Source organism: Homo sapiens, chromosome X, assembly GCF_000001405.40.
Source record: "Homo sapiens chromosome X, GRCh38.p14 Primary Assembly".
Taxonomy (NCBI): Eukaryota; Metazoa; Chordata; class Mammalia; order Primates; family Hominidae; genus Homo; species Homo sapiens.
In genome coordinates this window covers 12116470-12137488 of record NC_000023.11, presented here as the reverse complement: position 1 = coordinate 12137488, position 21019 = coordinate 12116470, and the positions used below count along the sequence as shown (strand labels likewise).

At 40.2% G+C, this 21019-nt stretch overlaps 1 protein-coding gene across 7 annotated transcripts in view; it reads right to left on the bottom strand.

The window, feature by feature from the left end:
- Positions 1-21019, bottom strand: part of FRMPD4 (FERM and PDZ domain containing 4) — a 902085-nt gene that overhangs the window by 587035 nt on the left and 294031 nt on the right. For 3 of the 7 annotated variants that reach the window (NM_001368399.3, XM_017029983.2, XM_047442680.1), the window contains exon 1: positions 1-74. This exon is cut by the window's left edge and continues 277 nt beyond it. The exons of the other annotated variants lie outside the window; for them this stretch is intronic. The gene's annotated coding sequence lies outside the window, so the exon portion shown is untranslated. Of the gene's footprint in view, positions 75-21019 lie in introns of those variants that run through there. 7 annotated transcript variants of the gene reach the window in all.

The window sequence follows — 21019 nt, the reverse complement described above, 5'->3', positions numbered from 1 at the left end:
AAGAACAGAGAGCACCCCCAGAAATGTTGGAAGATCCAGCCAGTGTTCCAGTCTAGCTCTCCGAGGGGATTAAGAAAGAAATAGGTTTAAAGTTCCCACACTTCTGCTCCTCTCCTGGTCTGTTGTTATATTTAAAGTCTTCAGTATTCAAGCCTAGTACTAAAGCGTTTTTTTTAAGCATTTATTTCAAAAACTGAACATAAAATAAATAGCAATCTGCAAAATCTAAATGACTTAAAACTCAGGCATAAAATTACATGTTTTTGAATACATAGTTATCAGTTTTCCTGCAGCTTCTATTAAACAGGCTAGTTTAATTGCATGAACGCAGTTACTACTCAAGGATCGGAAGGGGCGAGAGGGACCTTGGCTTTTGAACTCTATTGTTTGTAAAATAATTATAGTTTGGGTCTGCACTGTGCTTTATAATTTTTAAAGCTTTTTTTTGCATTGGAGTCTCATCGCAACCTTTTCATATAAGGCAATATATTTAGAAATCTTTTATTTTTATGCCATAATCTATTCTCAACATACCAGACAAAAAGATGTTTTGTGTGTGTGTATGTGTGTGTGTGTGTGTGTGTGTGTGTGTGTGTGTTTTAACGTAGATCACATAAGGCTACTTGTCTGATCTAAAATATGTAAAAGCTCCCCATTGTCCGTCAAGCTAAAGTTGCGCTCCTGCAAGGGCCAACAGGACCCTAGATCCCGTATCCTTTGATCTTTCTTACCTCAACTATTACTGCCCACTTCCCTCTCCCGTTTTTCTCTGTCCCTCCTCATCCCCTACCCCGAGCCCCTCCTCTCTCACACACATACACTCACTGGGCTCCAGCAATTCTGGACTTCTTGCTATCCTTCAAACTCTACAGGTAATCTTCCCACCTTAGGCTCTTTGCAATGGTTGTTCCCTCAGCCTGGAATGCTCTTTCCTGGGATATCTGCATGGCCGGCTTCTCCACCCTGTCAAATGTATGCACCAATACCACTTCCAAAATGCCCCCTCTAGAAAGCCAATTTAAAATTGCAAAAGGTTCTCACACCCTGGACTCCGAGTCCCTATTAACTGTTTTATTCTTTTTTCTTGTTTCCATAGCATTTATCACCCACTAGCACACTATATAATTTATTTTTATCTTTAGGATTTCTTTTTTTTTTTTTTGGTCTGAATCTCCCACTGGAGCTCCACAAGGGCTGGGATCTTTGTTTTGTTTTGCTTTTGTTTTTCACTGATGGATCTCAAATGCCTAGACCACTTCCCCAGATGTAGAAAGAACTTAAGAAATATTTGTTGAACGAACAAATCATATGCCCATTGGATTCACAGCCAAACCAAAGCTGGCCAAGCATCCCCAGTGAGTACTGATCTGTGTATGACTTCGTGGCTTACATCTGTCTCTTTCCCCACCCATCCACTTCCCCAGCATCCTTCAACCTCCTTTGGACTGACTGTTAATGATGGCAACAAAGGCCTTCTTACATTCTCCAGTTATTTTCCCCCTTCACCTTTTCTACCTTTCCCCCAAAAGAGTGGCCACCGACACGTTCCCTCATCTCTGAGTCAACATCTGGCAGCACAAGACCAGCTCGTGATTGGGAAAAGGGGATAAAACAGTGCCTTTGGAGAATGTGTTTTGAAAAAGTGCTTCCTTCTGAGAAGAGAACAGTTGGGATGCTCTTTTTAAAAGGATTACCCTATTTATCAATAATTATTCCAGATACCAAATATCTAATTATTCAACAGTGAAAGTGACAGGAAATAGACATTGTGTTTACTTCTAGAGAGACAGCCTCCCTTGGAGACATCTGGTCTACCTGGAACAGCTTGCTGTTGGCCTTCTCCCTGTGCCAATTTGTGCGCTACGGTTATGAATGATGCAGATGCCATCTCTCCACAGCATAATAGCTACCAAGGGAAATGACTGACTTCTACAGGTCTTTACACACCTCTCATATAGTAATTATCTAGTATGTTTTCTAATGGATTGATATTGTTTTCTAAAGCAAAGAGATTCCACCCCTCCTCCTTTGTTTCTCATTAATACAACAATGGAAAAAGCTGCTCCCTTGAAACATGCTAACACAGAGTGTTTATATCTTTAAGCCATCTTGGCAGAAGGGCAGAGATTGGAGTAGTTGGTCTCTCAGCTCTGTCCCCTCTCTGTGCCAGGTGTGTGCTGCAGAGGTTAGGATAGGTTTGTCTAGCATGAACTAGATCTGCCTAAAACAAATAAAAGCCAAAAAAGTGGGATCCTGAGTACATATGTGGTTTTCTGAAGTTTTCTTATTAACCTGGATGATCTCTAAGGCCCCTTCTGGATCTTGTAGGGATTTACTAGTTGGAAACTGTATTATCCAACCTTGAGAATCTACTTAATTTGCTTTACTTAGGTTCAAGTGACATTTGGTCATTTCTGAAAACCAGACACACTTTCAAACACTGTTGAAAGTACTCATGAATAAAAGACTCAGGGTCACCAGATCCAGAGCAAGTCCTATAACTTCTCTGAGACTCAGTTTCCTCAGCTGTAAAATGGAAATAATACATCTTTACCTTACACAAAATGAGCACTTGAAGTTGGCACCAGTTTACAGTTGGCTACATATGAGTTGAGGCACATGAATATTAGCTCTAGAAGGATTTCCACAGCTGTCTGCAGCCTTGGCAGTACTGGTAGGAAAAGTTTCAGCCTGTAAGATGACTATTTAGGAGGCCCAACATTCGCTTGGATTAATCAGAGGTAGGCACTTTTGCCTAAAAATCAAACACTTTGTTGCCTGGGCAGTTACTAAAGCCCTAGGCTGTAGCATTTTTTATGCCCCGGGGGATTCTCAGGGGGAAGTGTGAGGAGCTTCATCATTCTTAAGGCCTTATCTAAAGCTGGTGTTAGGAATCTGCTATTGGGCCAGATGTTCCATATAGGTTGGCAGCTGAGGGTTCTTTCGCTGCAAGTTACAATAGAGAGAGCCCCAAGCATTTCTCAGCTGGACTGAAGCATCTCGACCATCTGGTCTCAGTCCTGAAAACAGAAGTAAATAAATAACAGCAAGGTATCCATTCAATCAGCAAATATTTATGGAGTGTCTCCCATGTACCAGGCACCACTGTAGGCACTGGGAAATAGACTAGGCAACAAGGCAAGTTTCTGTTCTCATAGAACTTATGAAGAGGAGGTAGATGATAAACAACAAAATCAGAAATTGTAGTGAACAAGAAAATAGCAGATAGCAATGTGCAGAGAATTAAAATTCTTCTGATGGAAAGGGAGTGGCTAGGTGGCTATTTGTTATTCAGTGGTTCAGGAAGACTTCTATAAGGAGGTGACATTTAAACTGAGATATGAAGAACAAGAAGGAGGCTGCCACACAAAATTCATATGGAAGAGCATTCCATGCAGACGGAACGGCAAGGATAAAACAAGGATGGAGTCCTTGAGGCAGGAACGATGATTGTATGTTTGAAGAATCCGAAGGCAGCCACTGTGACTGAAGAGTAACGCGTTAAATGAAGTGAGAGTGAGCGAATTTGCAGGGGCAAGAAGGGTGAGATCACATGGGGCACAGTAGGCCAGTGTCAGCTGTCTGGCTGGTATGAGACGGGAAGCCATGTGAGGATTTTTAGCATGGAAGTGGCCAAATCTGACTTATGTTTTGAATGACCACTCTTGAGGGAAGTGAGTGTGAGGGCAGGGAAACTACTGATTTAGGAGCCTGTTGCAAGAATCCAGGCAAGAGCTGGCAGCAGCTCAGAGAGGACATGACAAGGAGGTGGTGAAAAGTAGCCAGGCTCAGGATATGTTTTGAATAGGAACAGTTGATGGGTTAGATGTAGGAGGTGGGGAAAGAGAGGAATAAGGGAAAACTCATTTATTTGTATTATTTACGAAATACCCTAGTTCGGTCAGGCGTGGTGGCTCACGCCTGTAATCCCAACAGTTTGGGAGGCTGAGGTGGGAGGATCACTTGAGCCCAGGAGGTTGAGGCTGCATTGAGCTCTGATCATGCTACTGCACTCCAGCCTGGGGAACAGAGTGAGACCGTATATGAAAAAAATAAAGAAAAGAAATGCCCTGGTTCCCTTATCTAGATATAGAACATACAAAAACCAGAAGGGTTTCGCTGGGTGCAGTAGCTCAGGCCTGAAATCCCAACACTTTGGAAGGCTGAAGTAGGAAAATTGCTTGTGGCCAGGAGTTCGAGACCAGCCTGGGTAACATAGTGAGACCCCATCTCTAAAAAATAAAATAAAATAAAATAAAATAAAATAAAATAAAATAAATTTTTAGAAACCAGAAGGGTTTTACCTCCCACTGGCTAAAGTACTCTGCCTTTCCTCCTGTTCCTTTTAATGAACTCCACTGCTCTGAAAGCTGGCCCTCCTGTGATTCTCCTCTCTCTTGCCTGCTCAAGGCCCTTAATCTAGCACTTACTGTCTCTTTTTCCTATATCAGTATTTTTTTTAATCAAACTGTTGGACCATTCCCATGTGCATTCAAACATGATGCTCTTTATCCAACCTTTAAAATATTTCTTAATTCCCACCACATCTCCTGTCAGCTAAATCCCATTTTTCTGCTTGCCTTTATAGCATATCTTCTCCCAAAAGTTCTCCATTTGCTATCTCCTACTGTATCTTGAATCTATTCCATCCATGTTTTCTTTTTACCCTTACAATCACCCTACATTAAAACTGTTCTTGTCATTGTAACTAGGGACTCCACGTAGCTGGATCCAACAGCCATTGCTCAGTCCTTATTGACACAGCTGACCATTCCCTCTTCCTTGAAACATTTTCTTCACATGTCTTAGGTGACAACACACTCTCCTGGTTTTCTTCTTTCCTTGCTGTTTGCGTCTTCTCAATGTCTTTTTTATTACTCATCTGTCACTGTATCTCATCTTGCCAACCTTGAATCGTTGAGATGGCCCAGGGTTGAGCTAGAATTTCTTCTCTTTGAGTATCTATGCTTACTTCCTAAGTGACAACATTGAGTTTTATGATGCTTAATGTTATCTATATGCTGACAAATCCCACATTTCTATCCCTGGCCTAGATCCCTCAACTCCAGACCACCCACTCAACATCTCCATCTAGTGACTAACAGGCACCTTGAAGTTAACATAGCCTAAAACTAATTCCCATAGAGAAGACTCCTGCCTACAGTCTTTTCCATCTCTGGTAATGCCAATTTCATCCTTTTAGTTGCTTAGCTCCAAAATCCAGGGGCCACTTTTAACTTTTTTTTTTTCCCTCCTAAACCTCACCTGAAACCGATCATCAAATCATTCAGATCTACCTCCAAAATAGATCCACATTATTTATATATCCTCCCAACTCCACCACAACCACTTACATCCAAGCCTCCATTGTCTCTCTCCTGGATAATTGCGATGGCCTACTAGCTGCTCTCCTTGCTTCCCTCATTGTCCCTTCCTTTGTTACTTTTCACCTTGTGTGCATGTGTTAATATTCTATAGTCTGGGAGAGGGACTGGGGGTTGGAAAGCCAGAGAAGTTGGTTTTAAAGATTATTGTTTTCATCAGTATTCAACAAAAAGATGAATCATTATTGTACATTTGTAAGTTTTGAGTTTTCTAAACGTTTTTGTTCCTTTATACCTGGAAATAACCCTGTAAGTTAGAGAAAAAAGTTATTATTATCCCATTTTAGGGATGACAAAAGGTGAGACCAGAAAAGCTAAGTGATGACAATAATTCTTACTAAATATGAGGATTATTATAGGAAGCATTGTTTCCTGAGGATTCATCTAGCATCATAAGGGGAACTTTTGAATATAGATTTGTGGGATAAAAATGTCTCAAATTCTACCAATATAATTCAGTTTTTTTTTCTCTCATATTTGATTGCCCTAAAGGATATTCAAAAATTTTAAATGCTATATGGGGCATAAGAAAGAACAACAGAAAGGCACCAGGATTTCTTGGTACCATTCCCAAATCTGTAAATATAAGTGACCCTTAAGAAATCATTCAACTTTTCTTAGTGTTGTCTTCCTCATTTGTAAGCTTTATAGGTTAAAATAAATGTGCATGTCCTGTTCTCGTTTCCTTCCCCTTCTGATGCAATGCAGATACACAAGTGAATCTTCCTAAGGGCCAAGAGATGTATAATATTTTGAGATTCCATCTACATTGGTAATTCTGTAATCAAGAAGACTAGGTTCTACAGGAACAAATCCAATATCAGAAACTTTTACCAGATAACTGTATATCTATAAAATACACAATGATTAGCTCAGCCCCCTAGCAGCTGACCTTTATTCAAGGTTAAGAACCACGTTTGCTATATGGGCCTTCCCCTGGGCCTTATTAGGTCACTTAACTTCCTTTCTTTCTTTAACCCCACCCTCTCTCACCCGTTTTGCTCAGGCACATACCAAAAGTCTGCCAATGTAGGATTATAATTACTGCTTTCCCACTGAATCTCCTCTTGTCTGATGAGGTATGGAGAGGCACGGGGAGGAGGTCATTTAAAAGATTCTGCCAGTGTATAATTTTCAGACTATGAATTCTTAATGTGACATACCCTGTAACAATATTTTGAATTCTTATGCAACATTCAAATAACCGACAAAGCCTCATATTTGTCTGAGACATATTTTAATATTTCAAACTCATTTTAAACCTCTCAGATCCCGAATCACTTTTATGCTGTCTTTCTGACATAATGTTCCTTCACCTTGGCCCCCTGACTAGACAAAAACTAATCAAATCACGTTGAATAACAGCACTTCTGCTTGATGGATAAATTGCTCTAGCCTTGAAGACTATTATGAGGGTGAACTTTAAGGAAGATGTATGTACAAAAATGGCAGACTTGAGACCAGTTATTCCAAGTTTTTGAAGTCTCATTCATAAATTTATTATTTTACTTATTAATTCATTCAATTAATATTTATTGAACATCTACCATACACCATCTACTATATACTAGGCATTGTGGAGAGGGAATCAAGATAAAGACTTGACTCCTGTCCTCAAGGGCTGTAGCAGACATTGGTGCCTACTCTTTTCATGTGGAAATGAAGTTCCTTCTCAAGACCACCTGAGGACCCACCTCCCATCCAGCATCCAGTACTTCCCTCCCTCCTCCCTGCTTCCTGTCTCTAAATGAGGTCATCAAGCCTTAAGCTACATCTATCATCTTGCAACCATGAGGTAATAGGCATGAAAATCAAAAGTCAAGATGTTGAGAACAGTGGGGTAGAGGCCAGAGAGGCTTGGCCCTGGAAGATATTGTCAAGTCATAGAACCAACTTAGAATTTTGGCCTTCAAATTTTCATTTTATGAGACAATTAAATCTCTGTCCCCACCCCCTTACGCCTCCACCTTCTCTCTCTCTCTCTCTCTCTCTCTCTCTCTCTTCCGCTGGCTCCCTTTTTCCATTTAAGCCAAAGATAACCAAGTATTTTGTTACTTGCAGCTGAATGCATGCCTAATTGATGCAGAGGGTTAACAATTAGTTGTGGGAGGATGGCATAAAATTATTGCTTAAAGACCTATAAAGAGATTTAATAAGGCAACTATATAAATAAATAGAGTATAAGATAGATAATCATTATGATGCCCCACATTGGTATAATGCTTTAAAGTTTAGAAAGGTTTCTGCACATGTCATCTCAGGCTTTACAACAATCCTATGGGGCAGGAATTATTGCCTCCAATTTACAAATAATAATCCTGAGGTCCTAGGAAGTTAAATGATTAGAGACCACACAGCCAGAAAACTGGAAGTAGAAGTCCTCAAACACATGTATCCTAATTTCCAATTTACTGAGTTTTCAACGATAGCAGAGCTACCTCACTCAGCACAATGTCCATGGGTCTGAGCAAACTATGAGAGGTGGAGATAAGAGGATGGGTAGCCGTGAATGTTGTTCAAAGGAGGGAGGTATATGGGGCTGGGAAACAGGAGAAATCTCCCGAAGAAGGAGAGCTGATATAGTTTGGCTGTGTTCCCACCCAAATCTAATCTTGAATTGTAGTTATCATAATCCTGTGTCATGGGAGGGACCTGGTGGGAGGTGATTGAATCATGGGGGCAGTTACCCCCATGCTGTTCTCGTGATAGTGAATTCTCATGAGCTCTGATGGTCTTATAAGGGGTTTTTCCCCTTTGCTTGGCACTTCTCTCTCCTGCTGCCTTGTGAAGAAGGATTGTTTGCTTCCCCTTCTGCCATGATTGTAAGTTTCCTGAGGCCTCCCCAACCATGCAGAATTGTAAGTCAATTAAACCTCTTTTCTTTATAAATTACCCAGTCTTGGGTATTTCTTCATAGCCACATGAGAATGGACTAATACAGTAAACTGGTACCACAGATAGTAGGGTGCTGCTATAAAGATACCTGGAAATGTGGAAGCGACTTTGGAACTGGGCAACAGGCAGAGGTTGGAACAGTTTGGAGGGCTCAGAAGAAGACAGGAAGATGTAGGAAAGTTTGGAACTTCCTAGAGACTTGTTGAATGGCTTTGACCAAAATGCTGATAGTGATACGGACAATGAAGTCCAGGCTGAGGTAGTCTCAGATGGAGATGAGGAACTTGTTGGGAACTGGAATAAAGGCGACTCTTGCTATGCTATAGCAAAGAAACTGGCAGCATTTTGCCCCTGTCCTAGAGATCTGTGGAACTTTGACATTGAAAGAGATGATTTAGGGTATCTGGCAGAAGAAATTTCTAAGCAGCAAGGAATTCAAGAGGTGACTTGGGTGCTCTCAAAAGCTTTCAGTTTCATGCATTCACAAACACATAATTTGGAATTGGGATTTATGTTTAAAAGGGAAGCAGAGCATTTGCACCCTGACAATGTGATAGAAAAGCAAAACCTATTTTCTGCAGAGAAATTCAAGCCCACTGCAGAAATTTACATAAGTAATGAGGAGCTGAATGTTAATCACCAAAACAATGGGGAAATTGTCTCCAGGGCATGTCAGAGACCTTCATGGTAGCTTCTTCCATGATAGGTCCAAAGGCCTAGGATGGAAAAATGGTTTTTTGGGTAGGACCCCAGGCCCCTCTGCTCTGTGCAGACTCCGGACATGGTGCCCTGCATCCCAGCTGCTTCAGCTCCAGCCATAGCTAAAAGGGGTCAAGGTATAGCTCAGGCCATTACTTCAGAGGGTGCAAGCCCCAAGCCTTGGCAGTTTACATGTGGTGTTGAGCCTGTGGGTACACAGAAGTCAAAAACTGAGGTTTGGGAACTTCTACCTAGATTTCAGAGGACATATGGAAATGCCAGGATGTCCAGGCAGAAGTTTGCTGCATGGGCGGAGCCCTCATGGAGAACCACTGCTACGGCAGTGTGGAAGGGAAATGTGGGGTTGGAGCTGTGAGAAGAAGGCCACCATCCTCCAGAACCCAGAATGGTAGCTCCACCGACAGCTTGCACTGTGCACCTGGAAATGCCTCAGACACTCAATGCCAGCCTGTGGAAACAGCTGGGAGGTGGCTGTGCCTTGCAAAGCCACAGGGGTGGAGCTGCCCAAGGTCTTGTGAGCCCACATCTTGCATTGGCATGACCTGGATATGAGACATGGCATCAAAGGAGATCATTTTGGAACTTTAAGGTTTCATGACTGCTCTATTGGATTTCAGACTTGCATGGTGCCTATAGCCCCTTTGTTTTGGCCAATTTCTCCCATTTAGAATGAGTGTATACATCCAATGCCTGTACCGACATTGTATCTAGGAAATAATTAACTTGTTTTTTATTTTACAGGCTTATAGGTGGAAGGGACTTGCCTTGTCTCAGATGAAATTTTGGACTTGGACTTTTGGGTTAATGCTGGAATGGGCTAAGACATTGGGGGACTGTTGGAAAGGCATAATTATGTTTTGAAATGTGAGGACATGAGATTTGGGAGGGGCCAGGGGCAGAATGATATGGTTTGGCTGTGTCCCCATCCAACTCTCATCTTGAATTATAATTCTCATAATCCCCACCTGTGGTGGGAGGGACCCAGTGGGAGGTAATTGAATCATGGGAGCAGTTACCCCTATGCTGCTCTTGTGATAGTGAATGAGTTCTCATGAGATCTGATGGTCTTATAAGGGTTTTTCCCCCTTTACTTGGCACTTCTCTCTCCTGCTGCCTTGTGAAGAAGGATGTGTTTGCTTCCCCCTTCTGCCATGATTATAAGTTTTCTGAGGCCTCCCCAGCCATGTGGAACTGTGAGTCAATTAAACCTGTTTTTTAATATAAATTACCCAGTCTCAGGTATTTTTTCATAGCAGCATGAGAACGAACTAATATAGGAGCCCTAATGGATGTGTGGGAATTCAGAAAGAAAGACCATTCCAGACAAAGAGAATGTCACGAAGATGAAAACAGGAAGATAAAAACAGGAATGAACAAGTATTTCAATTGGAGTGCATTCCCTGAGTTGGAGAGAAACTAAGGATATAAGGGACAAATGAATTCTGACATCAGGTATTCAATTTCACACCATGGACCTACCATTTTAGTAGGCAATGGGGTTCCATTAGCAACTCCAGAACAAAGACTTGTAGGGGCAGTTACAAAAGGAAATTGAGCTTTATCAATAGAGCAATGGGTGGATAAAGGAGAGGAAGAGAACCTGGAGGCAGAAACCAGTAAGGGGATATTTTCAGTGGTCAGCCCACGTGAGAGAATGTGTGTCGATGATGCAAACTAGGGCTGGGGCATCTAAAACAGAATAGCCGTGATGGAATTAGGATGGTTGGCTAGGCTTGTCTATTGAGTATGAGAGATAGTAATGGAAGGGAGAAACCGAATTAGACTTCAAGGAATTCAGTAAAAGCAGCAGGTTTAGGGGAATGACAAGGATGACTGGTCTACTTGTTCCTTAGCACCCTAGGAAGAATGCTGATTTAATTAAATCAAACTCCCTCCCCTACTCAGAACCACTCAGGGGGGCTCTTTTATGAGGCATCAGTCCAGTCTGCCTGTGATGTGGGACCTCTCTCTCACCCTTCCTGCAGTCACTACCAAAACTTCAGATCCATCCTTAGCTGTATGCCTGGCTTTGTAAGACACTAAAATCTACCTCTCATAAGTTCTCTCTTAGAGCAGGAAGATGGAGGGAAATTCATGATCCGTTTCTTCCCACGGAACCAGCTTTGTCTCTGACCAAGAAATGTAGTATTCTCCTCTCCATGGCTTTTTGCTGTTATTATTATCTATTCATTCTGACCTTCCTTGGGATTCTTGCCATCAATCGGCAGACAGATGTCCTTCTCTATGGTTCTTCCTGTTTCCTGCTGTGTCACTGGCTAGTGACAAGCTGTGGCTAAGTTGTCAGCTCCCTAATTACAGGACAGTCTAATTACAGACATGTTATACTTGCAAGGTATTATTACTGAGGCTCTGTCTGCCATAGCCTAGAAGTAATCAAGCAAAATGTTATCTCAATTGTTATGGGACAGATATATGGAGTGATGTAAATTCTCTCATGCATTCTTGGTCTTGGGGACACCCTTGGACTCTCAGGATGGGTTAACTGAGTGGATCTTGTTGAGTGGGCTAGAATAAAACAGAAGGTAAGATGAGAGAAAACTGAGGGAACAGGAGCATGAGGAATACAGAACAGTCAGTAAACTAGATTCTTCAGGGCCATTCAGTGAGCAGGGCAGAGCTTTCTGTCCCCCTAATCTAATTCAATCCTTGCCCTCTTCAACGTAGGAGAAGGGAGCTTTTGCGTTTGCTAAAGCTAACATTTGAACTCTTGTTATGAGGGACTATCACTGTTAGCAAGTCCAAAGTTGGTCTTATAATTGTTCCACTCTGAAGAAACCAAAGGATGTAAATCTATTCCTGTGGAGGACTTTACCCTGTCTGGAGTGATGCATTGGATGCCTTCCAGAACATAGCTGGGAAAGACAGCCTCTACCCACCTGACCCCAATGTGCTTGCCAAGAAGGCTCCAGATAAGGACCGGGGGGGATTAAAAAAAAATTCAGAGGAAAGAGGCCAAGGAGAGGAAAACTCCCAATTGCCCATCAGAGGATGGCTGTCAAGATGGAAAGATTACTTGGTGAGAAAAGTAATGTTGGGCATCACTTTATGGGTTTCTTGTATATTTGAGAACAGCCAATAATGAGATTCTTTCTTTCTGGTAACACCTCCAGAAATCCTTCCAGATGTGGTTTCATTCCAGTTTTTTAAAACATAAGGGGTATCCTTCTAACTCCAGTTGACTGATATCTCAGGATGTCCAGGTTCCAGGAGACTATTCCAGAAAATTAACACAACCTACACTAGCTCATGAATGAAAGCTACATCAGAGCTATATCAGAGTGTGTTGACACAGCAGAGGAGAATTTTGGACTCTCAGTATGGAATTATTGGAAGAGCTGACAGCTTTTAGAAAGCTTCTGGGGCTCCAAGCATTCTCTCAAGATTGCCATGGCATCACTTGCACAGTGACTTAAGAACCCAGTCAGTGGGACTGCTCTCAAAGGTCACTGTATCTCAACGGAAACGAGGATGAAAAGGTTCCCAGCTGATCTGCATGTTGGGAAACGTACTATGCAAAGAAGACATTAAATGAGCAGTGGGCTTGGCAGTAGAGCACATTCCTGGATTTACTCATTCTTTCATTCAGTAAATATATATTGAGCATTTGTTACATGGAAGGCACTGTACAAGTTGCTGTGGCTACCATGGTGAGCCACACAGGTGTAGCTTCTAGCAATTTTACACTCCAGAGGCACTCCACTTTGGAGCTCTGCCACCCTCCCCTCATTATATCAAGCATATTAAAATGCATACTCATCACACATTAAATATACTTTGTTGCTATTAATATTTGAAAGATTTTTAATAAAATCTATAATTTTGAATTTTGTTATGAATCAAATATTTAGTTTGCTCTTGTGATTTGATTCATATACATCTACTTAAGAATAGAGTTTCATTCACTTGGTTGCCATATTGTAATATCATTAAGTTTTGTAAACATTTAATTACACATTAATTACTTTTAATTTTATAGCTTATTTTCATATTTTGGAGGCCAATATCTGTTTTCCTCAGGTCTCAAATTATGAAATAGGCCCTTCAAAATCTCAAAGGCCCTTGATATTTGGTCTGCCACATGTTAGGGAATAAAGAAACCCCAATGGGTCCTCCCATTGTAGAACCTACCTTCTAGTGTGGGAGAAAAAAATACTTATTTAATTATCTAATAGTGTACATATTTTCAACTTTTATAAGAGCTAGTAAATTATGTACAGAATGTTCTGTTAGCAATTAACTCAGGACCAAACCTTCTCTTACAAGGAACATGGTGTTAGGGGAAGTTTTGCTAAGTAAGTGATAAACTGTGAGCACTGAAAGATAAGTGGAAATTAAGGGAAGAGGAATTGGGTCAGGAAGATCATTCCAGAAAGGGAGATTAGTATGTGTAAAGTCCCTAGGAAAGGAAGGGTCATGAGATGTACCAGGAACTGGATTACAAAGAATATAGGGGAGAGTGGTAGCTGATAAGGTCAAAGAGGAGGTTAGAGGGCCCACAAGCCACTGGAAGGATATCTTGTATATCTTAAGTGCAATGGGAAGTCATTGGAGTTTCCTTTTAGAATAGCAGTGACATGTCTGCTCCTGTGATTCCCAGGAGTGGGAGACCAAGGTGGGAGCACAGAGAATGAAGAAAAGCACAAACCAAGAATTGATTCCACTGCTCTAACCCAAGTAGCACAGGCACAACACCCCATCTAAACTTTTACCCAAGAAGTTTAGAAGGTTGTCACAACTAATAAGAAGGGTTGCTACTGGACTCTAATTGGTAGAGACCAGGGATGCTATGAAATGCCCAACAATATACAAGACAGCCCCACAACAAAGAATGATCCATTCAGTTGTCAATAGTGTTGAGGTTGAGAAACTTTGCTATAGGACAATGCTATAGACTCAACAACAATCTGTGTTGAGAAACCTCATCAGACCTAGAAGTCGAAAATGTAGTTCTTCCTTTTCTACTAAGGTCAAGCAATGGAGAGAGATGCTAGAGTGCAAGGAACAAATGGAAGGAACCCAGAAGAAAATCAAGGCCAGGTGCAGTGACTCACGACTATAATCCCAGAATTTTGGGAGGCCAAGGTGGGTGGATCACTTGAGCCCAGGAGTTCGAGACCAACTTGGCCAACATGGTGAAACCCTGTCTCTACTAAAAATATAAAAATTAGCCAGGCATACTGGCACACGCCTGTAATCCCAGCTATTTGGGAGGCTGAGGCAGGAAGATCACTTGAACCGGGAAGGCAGGGGTTTAAGCTGAGATCACCCCACTGTAATCCAGCCTGGGTGATAGAGCAAGTGAGATTCCATCTAAAAAACAAACAAACAAAAAAAAAAAAAAAAAAGAAAAGAAAATCAAGCTATGACTCTATGACTCAATTATACTCTTTGGGTGCATTACAGAAAGAGTTGGAAACCTGGGCTAAACTGTAAGAACTTAGGTGGTTGGGTCCTCAGCCAGCATAAAGGGAGGCCCTCCTTATACAGTTGTGCAGAATGTACACTGCACAATTTTGTAGGGCACCATTCACATAATGTTAATTATAGATATGTATATTTGCTCAGAAAATTTTCTCAAACATAGCAATGAAGTGCTTTAGGAAGTAAATCTTTTTCTAATTTTTATTAAAATGTTATATGAGCTGCTTAGCATTAACATCATATTAAAATTTTTGATACTTAACTGTAGGCCCATATATACTTGTATTTGAACACCTGGCCCCTGGTGGCCTTGTTCCACGTCAGAGATATACAATTATTGGCAAACCTTATAAAGTATCAGTTGATCTGTGAGCTCAGCCCTTGGCAATATTCCTGGAATCTCCACATTATTAACAGAAAACTCTTCAAAGTGTTCATGAAAAAAAAAAAAAGATACAGTTAATTGTTCAACTCTTCTCCTTTTGGGCAGGTGAACTACATTTCCCAGCATCCCTCACAGTTGGATGTGGCTACATGAGTGGTTTGACTATGAAATATAGACAGAAGTGCTGGCTTGGCCCACAAAACACTCCTGTTGTACAGTTTTCCACTCTCTCTTTCCCCATCTATACAGAGACCACTCCAAGGACCTACAGAAGGATGAAGCCATAAGATGGGAGAACTCTGGGTTTTCAAGTGACCATGTGGAGCCCTCACCGACCCACTTAGCAGTGGAACACAAAGGAACAACATTTATATTCATCTTTCGTAAATTTTAGGCTGTTTGGTACAGTGGTTCCCTGCCCTTCCTAGTACATTGCTAAGGGGGATATTACAGTCATCAAGTCTATAAGGAGGGTGATACAATATAGTTGGTAATGCCACAGAACCTGGAGCCAGAGTACATATGTTTGTGTCCTACTCCTGCCACTTTCTAGCTGTGAGAACTTGGGCAAATTTACTTAAATGTCTTTATTAGCTTCCTTATATATAAAATTGGAGTAATAATTATATCAAACTCATAAATGTGTGGTGAGATTCAATACACGAAAATTGCCCCCACCAATGTCTCACACATCATGAGCTTCAGTAACAGTTCACTATTGTGAGGTTGACACTTGAGCACTCTTACTATGCATATGCTGAGAGACTTACAGAGGAAGACTGCTAATGATGCGGGACCAGGCCTTTTCACCAGATCCAGATCGTCCCTAGGACCCTTCCTGCAGCCTAAGATGCCATGGATCTCATGACCCAGAGATGAGTAACCTTGGAGATTCCCTGCAGCACAGGAATGAGACATGTTGTGAGGCTTGGATGTGATGGCATTGCCTGGGGAACCAAGTACACAGTTCAGCTTTATCTTGTGTCAGTTTGAGAGTGATCCCAAAGTTTTGCACTCTCAGAGAGATTCTCACTGAGGATACCACCACCCACCATAAGACCATGGAAGGATCAGGGAAAGTTACAATATGCTCAGATCGCCTTATGCAAAGTTACCTTGCCAAGGTGAAGTAATGGACCAGTGGTCCTCACTTCCAAATCCCCATTATACTCTTAAAAATGGAAGACTCTCCAAAATCTTTTGTTTGTGTGAATTATATCTATCAATATTTACTATGTTAGAAATTAAAACTGAAAAATGTTTAAATATTTATCAATTCTTTTAAAATAAGAACAATAAATCTATTACACACATATAACATTTTTAATAAAATATATTTCAAAAAAAAATTGTGAGAAAAGTGGCACTGTTTTACATTTTTTGCAAATCTAAGATCTGGCCTTAAAAAGCTGGATTCTTATATCTGCTTCTGCATTCAATTTGTTGAAGTATCACACATCACGTAGCCTCCAAAAACTCCACCAAGCATTAATGAGATAATGAGATTGAAAATAGCAAATAAAGTCTTAGTATTATTATAAATTATTATTAGTAGTAGTATTATAAAATAAATTATTAGTATTATTATAAATAGCAAATAAAGTCTTAGTATTATTATAAAGTCTTAGTATTATTAAGTCTTAGTATTATTATTATAAAAATTAGTATTATTATTATAAATTATATATAATTTTTACCTTACAGTCTCCCTGAATGAGTTTAAAGGACTCCCAGGATTCACAGCCTACACTTGAAGAATCACTGAAAGTGGTCAATCATGACACAGTGCCAAGTACTTGCTCAGTTCTCAGTAGTTCTCACTATTTGGTGGTAGGACTTTTGATAGCAAATGTCTGTGTTTTCTTTTAAGTGATCACACATTATTGTACCCCAGCATAGATGAATATACACATTATCCATATTTGAAAATGAAAGGCATAAAAGATTTTTTGCTTCACCCAAGGTGACAATCCTAGTCACTCTGGAATCCTAGTCTTGGATTTTCTTCTACCCAATCAACATTTTTACTTAGTTCTGATAACTCATTGAAATGTCTACTTAGTCCACTGTTAATATACTTAGTCAGATACAGGTCACCTGAGCATAGCACACCTTCTACAGGTGACCTCAGCTCTTATCCAATCCCATTCTGAGGCTATATTGAGTATTTTGGGACTCCTGGCCTCAAGCAATCCTCCCTTCTCAGCCTCCCAAAAAGCTGGGATTACAGGTGTGAGCCACCCTGCCCAGCTTATAGTTAGTATTTTCTATGCATCCTAGCAGAGATTCAATTTTGTGACGCAATAACTAGAAATGGATATTTTGTGATGATCTTATGGAGAAATCTTTTGGGAGAGAAGAAGAGAAAGATGATTCATACCACACACTACTTACAAGCAAATCCGTTAATTTCTCTAACTGAAAATTCCAACATTCTTTCCTCATTCCCGTAATCTCATCTCTTCTTCCTCTCTTCTCTTACATAGTTCTCTTTTCTTATACAGTAACTCAGAATCTCACTTTACTGTGGAGGAAAACTTAGCTTTTACACTTAATTCATAATTTCCATCTTGCAAAACAAAACTCAGTGATTGGTGACTACTGCTGCTTCTTTGACTATCCCTTGGAGAGCACAATTCATTCAGCCATACCTAGAATAGTTCATTAAGAAAAAATATTACACAATTTCTTTACTTGTCTTTCATTTCTACTAAGTGTCGTGGAACTGACTTCAGTCCCATAGAACTCGAGGCCATCTCAATGAAGTTCTCTAGTTTATACTCCTGTGACTATAGTATCACACATTCTGCTTCTACAGATACATTTATACAACTTCTACTTAAGCAAATTCAAGAATATCTCCGCACATAGCTTTGCGGTGCGAATGAAAGGTTGAGTTTATGTTATCATTCAAACCCATGTTCTGCTGCATATTATTTCAAGACAATAAAGATGAATTGAATATATCCCTGCTTCGCCTTCACATGTTTGAGGAAATTCTCACATCATTACTGTCTTCTCTTCTCCAGGCTAAATAAACTTACCATCTTCCTTAAATTGAAACTCATACTTTATTTTCTTTCCCTCTTATCATTTGCTTAGCTTTCCATAGACTCCCTCCAATCCTTCCATATGCTTTTTAAAATTTGCAGTCCCAAGTTACACCTAGCCTCTAATAAGGTAGATTTTAAATCATGTAACATATGATATATGTAATTGTAACAAATAATTCATAATTTTTCTTCATTTCATATTGATGACATATCAGTCACATGTTCATTTTGAGATTAAGTTAACAATTTCTATTCTAAATCATGGTGAACTGGGCCACTGAAATTGGAAGAAAGCAAAGAAACAGCCCTAGGGTGTTAAACTTAAATTATTCTTCTTTCATATTACTCAATGATGCATCCCAAATACATACAGCATGCTGAACTTTTCATGGTAGAAGCTTTTGGATCTATGTATGGCTCTACTGTAAAACCCCTTGAAAGAACAGGACCAAGTGTTTATTTTTATAATATGTGACCCCAATCCTGGACATAGTGCTGTGGACCAAGAATGAACACTTGGCCTAAGGTAAAGCGCCACTCTCAAACCAAAAATTAGCCAAATTCTCTCAGTTGAGAATTTGAACTTAGAGTCACAGAAAATGCAGTCAGTCTGTGGTGGGGAAGGGAACTCTAAGGTCATGTATCTGGGAGTCCTTGAGATCCCTTTACAAGTGATCAAAATTGTTAGAAAAGAGACCAGGAGACACAGAAATGGGATATATCCTGTGGTTATGAACAGACAAAGAGACGAAGAGAAAAAGAAAACAGCTTTCAGCCCCAGTGTCCTCCCTTCTCCCATTCTCATGAAGCTTGGCTGCATTTTGATTCCTGTGTCTGAGTGACTGCATAATATAAATGTACTACATCTCTCTTCTTTACATCAGCTAGTTTGAGCAGATTTCTAACTCTTGCAACCAAATGCTTCCCAGCCAAAGGCCATCTTCACCACCGGATGGCACAGGTGTGGGAGGCAGGATGAGCCAAGTCTGACAGCCCTGGACATTGGAGACAAGCCTGTCCCTGCCCCCACTCCTCTGTGGCAGAAGGTGTTCTCATTGAGTTCCCACAGCCACACACACAGGAGGCCTTTCTGCTTCCATTGACAATGACAGTGCCCCAACGGTGACTTGGAAATGGTTTTGCTTATTTCTAGGTTTGTTAACAGCCAGCAGTCGCCTGCTGCGGACTTTCATTTTTTTAAGCAAAAGTATTTAGCAATTTGGTATAAAAAAAGACAAGAAAGTGAGGTAAGAATACTTCTAGGCACTTTTAAAAATGTCTGGCTTCTTTGTCATCCACTTAAGTGCATACTTAACAGATTAATCAATGGCTCTTGAAGAAGAGAGTTTTAGTGGATAATTCTACTTACTAGTAAGTAGACAAGGCAATAATGGAGCATAAGAATTAAAATTAGGACAGAATATTTAGGTCAAAAGGAGTCAAGTAGGCTTTGGGGAAAAGGTAGATTTTGATGTAGTACTAAGGGGTTTTAGAAGTCAGTAATAATTTTTAAAAACTTTTTTGAACATTACATAACTCACCCTTTGCTTCTTTTTCCTAACCATTGTATGTATGTTACATTAAAGGTATTTTAAATATAAAAAAGAATTTGCCCAGATGAAATATAAGGTGGGAAACAGGGAAAGAGTGTATCAAGCAAAAAAAGGAGCAACAGATACTGTTTAATATGCTCGGGAAGCAAAATGATTGGAACTTGGATATTGGGAAGAACAATTGATAAATGTTGATTAATCTGATGTTTATCTGATTTGATAAAATGTGATAAATAAGTCTGGCAAATAAATGTAAAAGAGAAGTCAGTAGTACAAGTTGCATGGAGGGAGGGTGGTCTGTCCAGCGCAAACCAAAGAGCAGACACAGAAGAGTGACAGTCCTTGTCTGAGTGGAGTGAGGGAACACGCTGGACCATGAAAATGGGGCCAAAGCATGGGAGCCTTGCGTGCCAGTCTTGTGAGTTGTAACTTAATCTAAAAGCCAGTTGGTATCATATTTGGAATTGAAATGGCAATGTGTCCTTTTATTTGGGGGAATAATTGGTGTGAGTTCAATATCCTTGAAGGGGAGAGAGTGAAAGAGCTAAATGGCAACATTAGGACATGAGTGTAGGAATATGGGCTGAGATGACAGACATATACACAATGGTGGCGGCAGAGAAGAAAAGGAAGGATAGACTCTACGGGCAACATTATAAATAAAGATTAATGGGCACAACTAAATTTTCAGAAATCATTCCTAAAGAACATATCCATGGAACCAAAAACCACCCGTATCCCCAAAACTATTGAAATTTTAAAGATTTTTTAAAATAATGAAAAAAAAAGGAATATATTACCTGCATTTTCCTCTTCCCATTTTGCAGATGAGGAAGTTGACATGGAGCAGGACAAAAGTGTTTGCCCAAGATCATACGATATACATGCTCTTACCTTCTAAGTTTGTGCCATAGTTGACTTTGGCAACTTCTAATTCTGCAACTTCAGATTTGAGAAGATACCTCAGGAAAGCTTTGACGATGGTAACGTAGCATTAAGTAAAAAGCAAAGATATTGAGTAATGGGAAAACTTAAACTAAGATTAACCAGTTCTCTGGCACAGGAAGAAAAGATGATTCTTGAATGTTTGATGCTACTTAATGAGTAAATAAATAAATGAAGATAAATTTTTAAAAAAGATTAATGGGCCTAGTAACTAACTTGGCATAGGGAAAAAAGAAAATGGAGGATTTTCAAAGGTTATTCATCCCATTAATTATTTAACAAGCACATATAGCAACAAATATATATGTTATCTAATGCTATTATGTCAGAGAAGGGTCTTAAGAATATCAGGTGCTCATGGCATCAGTGAGGGCTTGGAGGGTCAGGCACAGAAAGCTGACAGATCCAAAAATGCCCTGTAGCAATCTTTCTAACTTGAGTCCCATGAGAAAATTACGCTCCATCACCCTATAGCATGCATTCCACATAATGACTTAACTCTTCTCCTGTGCATCTAAAATGGCACTAGTTTTGTGCCATCTCAGGCAGAGTTGAAAAAATTGTCACTCAAATCATTTTCAGTTCCCGTAGTTCAAATGAGGTTCCCCAACTTAGAAAGGCTATCTGGGGGGAAAGGTAAAA